The sequence below is a fragment of the Homo sapiens genome, chromosome X, assembly GCF_000001405.40.
Source record: "Homo sapiens chromosome X, GRCh38.p14 Primary Assembly".
NCBI lineage: Eukaryota > Metazoa > Chordata > Mammalia > Primates > Hominidae > Homo > Homo sapiens.
The window spans coordinates 28564192-28576146 of NC_000023.11; the positions used below are offsets into that span (position 1 = coordinate 28564192).

At 38.0% G+C, this 11955-nt stretch overlaps 1 annotated feature.

Annotated features, from left to right (window-relative positions):
- Positions 7356-8204: an enhancer, noted in NCBI's record as "NANOG-H3K4me1 hESC enhancer chrX:28589664-28590512 (GRCh37/hg19 assembly coordinates)". NCBI's record gives its function as "activates a minimal SCP1, AML or CMV promoter by ChIP-STARR-seq in naive H9 embryonic stem cells {active_cell/tissue: H9 hESC(naive)}" and the evidence as "EXISTENCE:reporter gene assay evidence [ECO:0000049][PMID:30033119]".

An 11955-nucleotide genomic window follows, 5' to 3' on the forward strand; every position in this document is an offset into this window, starting at 1 on the left:
GACGGACAAACAACTTGATATTTAAACTAAGTCTGTAACTGATGTACCTTATCTCTCTAAATATTCCCTGGGATCCAGGAAATATTGCTTTAATATTAAAGTGACATCAATGATTAAAATTGGATCCGTTTTTGAAAGCTGATTATAAATGGGGTAAAGGAGGAGAAAAGCACTGGATATTTGAAAATGGGAAGGAATTTGGGATTCACCAAAAATAAATGATCTGCAGAATAGAAGGTTACAGAAACAAAGACAATTTAAAGTCACCCAATTTCATAATTTTGCTAAAGGCTAACCTTGGAAGCAGGAACTATTAAAACTAAAAATATATATCAAGACTAAAAATAATCGTATTATTTGACAGAGTAATTCCAAATCAAATATATGGTTCTTTATATATAATTCAAAATTTCAACCCACAAAAAATAAAATAATGGCAACAAAGATGCTGACCTATAATTATGTTAGCATTAAAAACTAAAACAAATAAAAATGTTTAAAATAATAAAATATCAACATTGCAAAAAGTATAAACTGCAGAAAATCATGTCAATGGGATATTCAGTAACTATTAAAATTATAGAAAAATTAAAATTAAAATTAGAAAGATCATGCAATGAAATGGTGAATATTTTTGAGACTATTATAAAGGGAAAAATAGGACTCAGAATTTTTTATCCATTATGATCACTGCTATATGGAACAGATGATACTATAATTGAAGGGAAAATTGTAGGAAATGAACTAAAGTGATTGAATGTGTTAAATGGTAGAACTACTAGTGTTTTTATAAGAAGAATATAAATGAAAGTATTATAAAATAAAGAGGGAGAAAAATAAATGCTCTCAGAGAGGAGTGCGTGTGATTTCCACCTTATTGCATTATCCTCTCTGAAGACCAAAAGGTAAATCCCACTTCTCTGTTGTGACAGGCACTGCTAATTACCTATCCATTCTCCCCCTTTAACTTACTAAAAGAACTTCCTTTTGTTTGGGAGTTGGGGTGGGCAATGTGTCCAAGACTCTGGCTGATAGGAGCAGCCTGGCCAAGAACAAGTTTTGTATGACATATGAATAATGCCATAATTTACAAATAAAAAGCTGGATGCCCAGTTACATTTGAATTTCAGAAAAACAGTGATTTTTAGTATAAGCATATTCAAGATATTTTATAAGACATAGTTACACTAAAACAGTTTTTTGTTGTTTATCTGAAATTCAAATGTAATTTGGTATCTTGTATTTTATCTGGCAAACTTACATGTAAAGAACTTGAAAACTGGCCGGGCACAGTGGCTCACGCCTGTAATCCCAGCACTTTGGGAGGCCGAGGCGGGTGGATCATGAGGTCAGGAGTTCAAGACCAGCCTGGCCAAGGTGGTGAAACCCCGTCTCTACTAAAAAGACAAAAACCAGCCAGGCATGGTGGCAGGCGCCTGTAATCCCAGCTACTTGGGAGGCTGAGGCAGGAGAATTGCCTGAACCCCGGCGGCAGAGGTTGGGGTGAGCCGAGATCATGCCATGCACTCCAGCTTGGGTGATAGAGTGACACTCCATCTCAAAAAACAAACCAAAACCAAAACAAACAAACAAAACCAAAAAACCTTGAAAACTTAAAGTTTCTGGATACAGGCTTTTTATTAACAATAGTGTAGTTGTATTTGTTTGGATTGTGTTTCAGTGCATGATGAGAAACCAGGCTATAAAGGTAATAAAGTAAGAGCTTATTTCTCTCATATAACAAGATGGAAAGTAAGCAATACAGAGAGTGTGCATTTGCTCAAGGAAATGAAACAATGAGGCTCCTTCAAGCTTCTGGCTCCAACTCCATAGCACATGTCTTTGGTGCTAAAAGTGGCAGTATGGTGGTTCCACTTCTAGGTATGGTTGTGTGAATTTTGGAGAAAAAAGACAGTAAAAGTGATGAGCAAAATGTGCCTGCCATTTCTATCTGTGCTTTTTCTGACTTTTATTATTATTAATTTTAACCAGATAAATTAGTTTTGGGAGAAGCTTTATGTAGTGACTTGAGGTTACACCTCATTGGCCTTCTATCACATCATTCCTCATCTCCCATCAGAAAACTCTCTCATTCTGAGAACTCTCACACACTGTTGGTAGGAATGTATATTCGTACACTCTTTATGGGAAAAAGCATGGAGACTCCTCAAAAAATTAAAAATAGAGTTGACATATAATCCAGGAATCCCACTTCTTGGTATATAACCCACAGAAAAGAAGTCAGTATACTGAAGAGATATCTGCACTCTCATGTTTATTGCAGCATTATTCACAATAGCCAAAGTATGGAATCAATCTGTGTCCATCAATGGATGAATGGATAAAGAAAATCTTGTATATACACAGTGGAATATTATTCAGCCATAAAATAATAAAATACTGGCATTTGCAGCAACATAGATGAGCCTGGAGTACATTAGGTTAAGTGAAATAAGCCGACCACAGAAAGACAGACATCTCATCTTCTCATTCATCTGTGGGAGCTACCGAGTTAGTCTCAAGGAGGTGGAGAAGGGAATGGCAGTTGCAGGGGCTGTAAAGGGTGTAGCAGGGAGAGAGATTGGTTAATAGATACAGAAATGGCCGGGCACCGTGGCTCACGCCTGTAATCCCAGCACTTTGGGAGGCCAAGGCGGGCAGATCACGAGGTCAGGAGATCGAGACCATCCTGGCTAACACGGTGAAACCCCGTCTCTACTAAAAATGCAAAAAAAAAAAAATTAGACGGGCATGGTGGCGAGCGCCTGTAGTCCCGGCTACTAGGGAGGCTAAGGCAGGAGAATGGCATGAACCCGGGGGGCGGAGCTTGCAGTGAGCCGAGATCGCGCCACTGCACTCTAGCCTGGGAGACAGCGAGACTCCATCTCAAAAAAATAAATAAATAAAAATAAAAATAAAGATACAGAAATAAAGTTGGATAGAAGGAATAGGTTCTAGTGTTTGATAGCACATTAGGGGACTATAGTTATCAATGGTTTATAGTATATTTCAAAAATAGCTGGAAGATTTAGAATGTTCTCAACATAAAGAAATAATACATGTTTGAGGTGATAGATATCCCAATTATCCTGATTTGATCATTATGCATTTAATGCATATTTCAAAATATCACAGGAACCCTATAAATAGGTACAATTATTATGGATCAATAAAAAAATTTTTAAAAGAAAGAAAACACTCTCAACAGCAATGACAATATCTACCTATTCTTGAAAACCCTACTAAAGACCTAGTCCCTCCTCCAAACATGTTTTGTATATGCCAGTCTGCCATAGCCCTTAAACATCGGAGTATGTAGGCGTGTTCCTTGCGGTTTAGTTCTAAATTATACTCTTGTTTGTATTGGCCCTTTTTCTTGGAATATTTGTGTTGTCTTAATAAGTGGACCGCATGGTCCTTGGGAGAGGGACCGTGCTTTATTCATCATATGCCAAGCTCCCAATAAATAATATTTGTTGATGAATTTACCACCAATTGTCACTGAAGCTTAACAAAATTCCATAGGAAACCTCCAAGTACAAGCTTTTTAAAGCTGTAAAGAGAAAGTTTTAAGTGAAGCAGAATGTCTTTTATTTTACTTTATTTACTTATTTAATGCTTCATTGCATGTGCAATACATTTACATGGTTTAAAATTCCAAAGATATGAAAGATTATACAGTGTGAAATATCTCTTTCCCACATACATCCCTAGCCACCTAGCTTCTTTCCCCATGCAACGAACCTCATCAGTTTGTTGTATTCTCCAGAGAGAAATTTTGTATTTACAAGCCAATGTGCATATTTTAAAATTCATTTGAATATTAAACATTTACTGTGCACTAAGCTTTTTGCCAGGCACTGTGGTAAATGCTTGACATTGAATCCTCCTAACAACTCAATGAGGTAGGTTTTTCTAATTATTACCATTTTACAGATGAAGAAACTGAGGTACAGAGCCATATACCTTCACAAACCACAGCTGATATTTGAACCTGGGAAGTCTGACTCTAGATCCTATGCGCTTAACCACAAAAATATATTTCCTCTCCATGCTGAATCTTTTAGGAGACATATACAAGGTAAACAAAGTCTCAAAAGATTACATAGTACACATAGGGAATTACCTCCATGTATCTGGTGAGAATTAAATATATGCTTGTATAGTTCATGACTAAGGGAATATAGTTGTGAAACCTAAAAATTTTGGACTTGGATCCTTTATCTCAAGATAGAATTTGACCCTATGGCCATGTTATTACAGCTGAGCATGAATACTGTTTGTACCAGTATGGTGTCCTACAAAAAGAATAAACATGTGTTCTTAATCAGAATTCTTGTCTTTTCACCTTTATTTCAAGGCTCCTATGTTCTCCTCTGATCTTCATCCTCCTTGCCTTCCACCTTTCCCTGATTCATCTGTCTTCACTGCTCCTCTACTTTGTTTTTTACATTTGCCAATCAGCCTTATGACTTCAGTGCTGCCACGCTGCCCAACTTACTTTTCTAGGAAACTGTTGATTGCTTCCATGTAATAGTGAAAAAGGCTATCAGTTGGTACAGGTGTTTGATATATTAAAACCAAAATGGCCGGGCGTGGTGGCTCACTCCTGTAATCCTAGCACTTTGGGAGGTCGAAGTGGATGGATCATCTGAGGTCAGGAGTTCGAGACCAGCCTGGCTAACATGGTGAAACCCCGTCTCTACTGAAAATACAAAAATTAGCTGAGCATGGTGACGGGCGCCTGTAATCCCAGCTACTCCAGAGGCTGAGGCAGGAAAAACTCTTGAACCCAGGAATCAGAGGTTGCTGTGAGCTGAGACCATGCCATTGCACACCAGCCTGGGCGACAAGAGTGAAACTTCGTTTCAATAAAATAAAATAAAATAAAACCAAAATAAGTGCACAACCAGGTTACAGAAATTTTTATTAAACTCAAAATAGTTATGAAGATGATTTTAAAATTTTTAGAAAATTACAGAGCTTTGCAAATGCAGGGGCAAAAAGATGTAATACCTTTTCTCATCTATCATAAGGGTCACGACCGACACTCCTACAAAAAAAAAGATGGGTTAACAAGAGAAAAACATAAATTTATTTAATCAAAGTTTTAGTAACATGGGAGCCTTCAGAAATGAAAATCTAAAGACCCAGGGAAAACTGTCTGTTTTTAGGCTTAGGTTTGACAAAGAATGGCTAGCCCAATAGAAATGTGATTGGATAAAAGTGAATGTTCTCATGGTAATAGACTGATGGGTGAAACCTGGCAAGGGCTGTCTGTTCAAATTCTTTCTGGCCTCTGTATGTATCATTCTTTCCTCATAGGTATGAGATAGGACCCCTCTGAAGTCTTATTACCTATTATTAGATAAGGTGGGTCTGCGAATTTCTTTATGGCCAGCTCCAACACAGAAAGGCAGGGGAAGATTAGAATAATATTTCTAGGTTTTATGGCTGGCTTTGAGGAAGAGGAGTTCTAGTTTTTTGACCTGCCTTAATGAAGAGGAATTCTGTTTTTTATAAATTGCTTCAGAGGGAGAAAAGGGAGTGGGAGACAGAAGGGCAAGAGAAGGTCAGAGACAGACTTTGCTTCTGAGGCCCTTTCTGAGGCCATCTAATCTCCTTCAAAGTACTCAGCATGCCAAAGCGCCATACTTTGGAGTACCATTTTCTGAGTCCCAACACAAACTTACACAAAAACAGAATAAACCGTAAAAACCAGTTTCAATTTACCCAGTTAAACAATTGTCTCTGCTTGAAATTGTGTTAAAACAGGAGCTCCTGTTAACATTTTAGTGTTAATTTAAATAAAATAGTTGGAATTTAATACAGATGATATTCACAAGTAATACATGATAATCAAGTGCTCCACAAAGTTATTGAGTTAAAAAATAGACTCTGTTACTGGTGAGAAATGTGGAAAAATGTTTAAACTATTAGCAATCCAAGATATGTTATAGAGGTTTTTTTTGTTTTAGTTGGAGGAGACTGGTGTTTTCATGAATTCTTGAAAGCAATTCACCTTGAGAAAATCTTTTTAAAACGAAAGCTGTAGACTACCAGGCTGCATTCCTCAAGCCAGGGAGATTTGCTTAGTCCCTAAATGCAGATTCTGGTGCAGTTGGACTGGAAGGGACCTGAGATTCTGCTTATCTAACAATCTAACAGGTGATGCCAATCTTGCTGAACCCTTGGCCAATATTTGAGCAGCAATGTTCTAGATACTACTTTTGGTGCAAGGACTTCTTTACCTGGCTTAGTTACCTGAGGACTGAATGATAAATAACAAAGGTGAGGAGGACTGGTTAGTACCCAAAAGGGAAGGATCAGAAATATATGTTTCTTCATAATTGGCTAGAGAAAAAAGGAGAGCCACAGTCATTTACATTGTCTGAAAATATTTTTATAGGTGAGGAAGAAGCCAGATTTTTAAAAGCAAGCCACAGAATCATCCTTGGAAGAGGGGTAGGTGAGGCGTGCTCTGGGATAGGAAAGGGAGTCCTGCCTATAAATTTGATGAAGTCAAAAATTCAAATAACTTTTTTTTAATCCTAAAAGAGATCTGGAGTAAATTGGCCTTTGTTTTACAGATTAAGTTGTCGTGGAATATATCAATGTAAGCTATAATCATAGTTTACGTTAGGAGTGGAGAGCTAACTGTTTCCAGATAAGAAGTAAAAGAGAATTAGGAGTTGAAAATTTTTAGACAGTAGGGAGAAAATGTTGTAAAGGAAGAAAGAACCAAAAGGTGTTGGCAGAAGAATGTGGAACTGGAGAGAGAAGAGACAGGAAACATTTCCATTCATCATTGTTCTGTTTCTAGCAAGATGCTGAAGTGGTACTCCTGCTGGCTCCCCAGAGAGCTGTCCCAGGGAGAAGCCCTGGGTAACTAGCAAAACAAGAAAAAAACATGTGAAAACTCCTTGTGGTGATAATTGGAGGAGCAGATGCTTTTGAACCGGTAAGAGTTGGGGTGCGGGGAATTAGGGTTTGGCCTGGGGCAGGAAGCCACTGGACTTGTGGACAAAAAATGTGATGGCATGTATGGGGAGGGAGTGCTGTAGGAATACTATTCCTGATTTTTCTTTGCTCTTACCTGTGGCTTCTCCACATTTTTGGAAATTCAGAGCTTGAGTTTTCAGATTAAAAAAAGTTATTAGCAGAAACTTTGAATTTTTAACTTCATCAAATTCATAGATACACAAAACTGGTAATAAAGCAGTAAAAACAAATTTTATTCAATAACTAATGTAGTAGGGCAAGGAGCTGGGCTCAATTCCAGTATGTTCAGAGGTGATTTTGGCATTTTCAAGGAGGAATGAGGGAGCAGGAGGGGAAGCCAGTGGTAGATAGAGCAGAGTCAGAGATGTGAAAAATTACAAAAAGTGGCTAAGAGGGTGGGTCAATGAAAATGGATTAGGCTGCCAGTGTCTGCTACTGGCATTTATCGAAGTTAGGCTTCCTAAAGGCAATGAGAGACTGGGACCCTATCCTTTTCTAAAAATTACATGATTACATTTCAAAGGTCTCAGGTCTTTGAGAAAGACACTCCAAGGGTTGTAGGAAATACATATGCATCTCACAGGGACAAAGGAAATATTTAGATTTGTAAGCTTTTTTTTTCCTTAACAAATACTCTAAGAAACAGAGGTGAAGGGCCTATCTCAGGTGTTTGTTGTTAACAACAGTAAATTCTTTTGGCACGCTTAAGCTTTTCCAGATGGGAACTCAGGTGGGACTTTGGTCTTCCCAGGAATATGGCCTTAGGCAGCTAGAAGTCATTGATCAAGTCTTTTAGTGCTGGGATTTGGATGGAGTCGTTCCCGGTGACAGTTGTTGCAGTTCTCACTATCCACGGCAGTAAAATCAGGGCCCCTCAGAAGCGCTGTGCTGTTGGAGCAATGAGAAAATCATTAAACTTTTGGTATTCGCTTTTCCGTACCCCTTCTTCAAACACCCAGGCTTGAACTTTACAATCTAAGGAGTGTCTCCTCCTACTGCTACCTCTCCCTGAGTGGGTGGAGGGGATGCAAATTGAAGCCAAGACCTCAGGGAACAAGGAGTGACTGGCCTTGGCTGCAGTTTGGAGATGCCTGCTGCCATCTGCCTTAGGGCTTATCCACTCCTCACCACTAAACTCAATGGGGCTAAATAAATTGGGTGATGGCCCTCTCCTAATGCATGGCCTAACGGGGTAGTTGGTACCCTGGAGAGGAGAGGGGGCCAGGGATAGATTCCCAAACCAAAATAACAAGATATTCTGAGAAGCACAGCTATTTCTAAAGGAAAACATATCCTGGATTACAGCTTCCACTAGAAGCAAAAAGCATTAGAGAATAAACACAGCAGGACTTTTAAATTATTCTAAAAATTTTGTGTATAAAAAAAGGATGTTTGAAAGGCCGGGCACGGTGGCTCATGCCTGTAATCCCAGGACTTTGGGAGGCCGAGGCGGGCGGATCATGAGGTCAGGAGATCGAAACCATCCTGGCTAACACGGTGAAACCCCGTCTCTACTGAAAATACAAAAAAATTAGCCGGGCGTGGTGGCGGGCGCCTTGTAGTCCCAGCTACTCCGGAGGCTGAGGCACGAGAATGGCATGAACCTGGGAGGCGGAGCTTGCAGTCAGCCGAGATCGCGCCACTGCACTCCAGCCTGGGCAACAGAGCGAGACTCCGTCTCAAAAAAAAAAAAAAAAAAAAAAAAAAAAAAAAAAAAAGATGTTTGAAACAGAGGGGATGGGGTGAAGCGGTGAATACAAACAGAAATAAATTCATGAAATTGATGAATTTGAAGACTTTAGATTGAAAGGGCCCAGAAAGTGCCAAAGAGGAGAATCTTACAAATATTATATTATATTTGTAAGTGAATATATTATATATTATAGTGAATATATTATATATAACATATAATAGTGAATATATTATATATTATATTATATATATTATATAATAGTGAATATATTATATATTATATATTCTGAATATATTATAGTGAATATTATAGTGAAATGTAAGAATACAAAGACATAGACAAAATTCAAAACCAGAAAACAAAACAGCAGATGATATAGAGAGGAAGAAGACTCAGATTGACGTCAGATTTTTCAATAACAGTGGTTATAGATGGACATTTTCTTTTCTTTTCCTTTTTTTTCTTCCTTGAAATGGAGTCTCGCTCTGTCGCCCAGGCTGGAGTGCAGTGGCGAGATCTCGGCTCACTGCAAGCTCTGCCTCCCAGGTTCACGCCATTCTCCTGCTTCAGCCTCCTGAGCAGCTGGGACTACAGGCGCCCGCCACCACGCCCGGCTAATTTTTTGTATTTTTTAGTAGAGACAGGGTTTCACCGTGTTAGCCAGGATGGTCTCGATCTCCTGACCTCATGATCCACCCGCCTCGGCCTCCCAAAGTGCTGGGATTACAGGCATGAGCCACCGCGCCTGGCCCAGATGGACATTTTCAAAGGACTGAAGGAAAATTACCTTTGAATTTTACATCCAGCAAAATGTCATTCAAATGTGAGGACATGATAAAAATATTCTCAGGCATAAAATATTTTAAAAGTTTGCTCCACAAAGATACATTTAAAAATGCTTTTGGATAAGTATTTAAAAGAAAAAGAAAGACAAATCTGGAGATGTTCCAAGAGATGAATGAAGTAAAGGTGATCAAATAAATACTTCAGCATTGGTTACTGTGGTTTAAAAATAATAAAGACAAAAAAAGAGAAGAGAAAATACATCAATAACAACCAAGAATTTAAAGTCTAGTTTAGTGATTCTCAAAGTTTATTGTACATATGAACATCTGGAGTGCTTGTTTACATGAGAATTCTGATTCAGTAGATCTGAAATGGGGTCCAAAGTTCTGCAATTCTAATCAATAAGTTCCCAGTTGTTGCTGATGTTGCTACTCCTTGGACCACATTTTAAGAAAAAAACAGGGTATTGTTTAGATCAACATGATAGGTGCTGGAAGGAAGAGGAGACAAGGGATGAGAGAGTCCTTGCTTTATTCAGGGTAAGACACAGCTTCAATTAAAAGATAAGTAAGACAGGAGTAAAAAGAAATGTAGAAAAAGAGGAACACATTGAAATAAGAAATTAAGATGGTAGTAACAATAACAAAGATATCAATAATTACAATAAATATGAATAAAGGAAATCTAATGGTTTAAAGATACAGATGTATAAATAAAAGCTCAAATCCAGATGTAAACGGTTTCTGTGAGAAACACTTTAAGAATTTGGTTATGCAAAAGTTTGAAGTAAGGCTGGGCGTGGTGGTTCACGCCTGTAATCCCAGCACTTTGGGAGGCCAAGGCAGGTGGATCATGTGAGGTCAGGAGTTCGAGACTAGCCTGGCCAACATGGCAAAACCCTGTCTCTACTAAAAATACCAAATTAACCCAGTGCAGTGGCACGAGCCTGTAATCCCAGCTGCTTGGGAGGCAGAGGCAGGAGACTCCCTTGAACCTGGGAGGCGGAGGTTGCAGTGAGCTGAGATCACACCACTACACTCCAGCCTGGGTAACAGAGCCAGACTCCGTCTCAAAAAAAAAAAAAAAAGAAAGTTTGAAGTGAAAGTATAGTAAAAACAAGACCTATCAGGAATACAATAATCAAAATAATATTGATAACTATGTTATATTAAATTAAATACACTTTAAGACAAAAAATATTTGGGATGGAGAGAGCCATGACTTAAAAAGATTGAATTTATCAAGGAAGTATAGCAATTTTAAACAAGTAGACACCAGTAAAATAGCCTCAAAATATATGCAGCAAAAAATTGTTATTTCTATAATGATAAATGTGCTATCATAGTGGGAAATTTCAACACATCACTGTTATTTACAGGTTACACAATAAACAAATCAGTAAAGACACAGAAGAAAAATAAGTAAAACAGGCCAGGCACAGTGGCTTATGCCTGTAATCCCAGCATTTTGGGAGGCCAAGGCGGGCAGAGTTCAAAATCAGCCTGGCCAATATGGTGAAACCCTGTCTATACTAAAAATACAAAAATTAGCCAGGTGTGGTGGCATGCACCTGTAGTCCCAGCTACTTGGGAGGCTGAAGCAGAAGAATCACTTGAACCCGGGAGGCGGAGGTTGCAGTGAGCTGAGATCGCGCCACTGCACTCCAGCCGGGATGACATTTTAAGACTATGTCTTAAAAGAAAAAAAAAATTAAAACAACACATTTAACAAGCAACACAATTAAGCTTGATTGTTAATTGGGGGAGGGGGGTATGATTATGCATGCATTAGGAAATATACAATTGTCTCATGCACATGTGAGACGTTTTAGAAAAGTTGATCATATATAATCTATTAAATCCTCAAAAATTTGAGATCTTACAATATCTAACCATAATAAAATTATGCTAGAAGATAATTTAAAAAATAAAAATATCCCTGATCATATGGAAATTTAAAACACACACACATACACACACATACACAACACTATGTAACTCTTAGGTTAAAGAAAAACATCATAGTGAAATTTAACAATGACAAACACAGAATTATAAAGAAACACTAGATATTAGGAACTGTGAGATATGGCAAAAATGCTTTAAGGAAGATTTACAGCCACAAGCCTCATATTAAAAAAGAAGAAATTCTTAAAATTAATGATTTAAATATTCATCTTAAGATGATAGAGTATGATTGACAGAATAAATCAAAGAAAGTAGAAGTCAACAAATATCAAAAGCATAGCAGAAATAAAAATACGAGACAAAAGTATAATTGGAAAGTCAACAAAATGTATCACGATTAGTATGCAGGATATAATTGCAGACAAAGAAAATACTGATATGTGCCACCTGAGGGTGAGCCTTGGCGTTCATAAACAAATTTGTGGGGTCAATTTCCTCAGTTCTTCCTCCCTGAAATCTGTCTGGTATGTTTCAATTCTCTGCCTTCACCCTTTTTGGTTCCCTAGT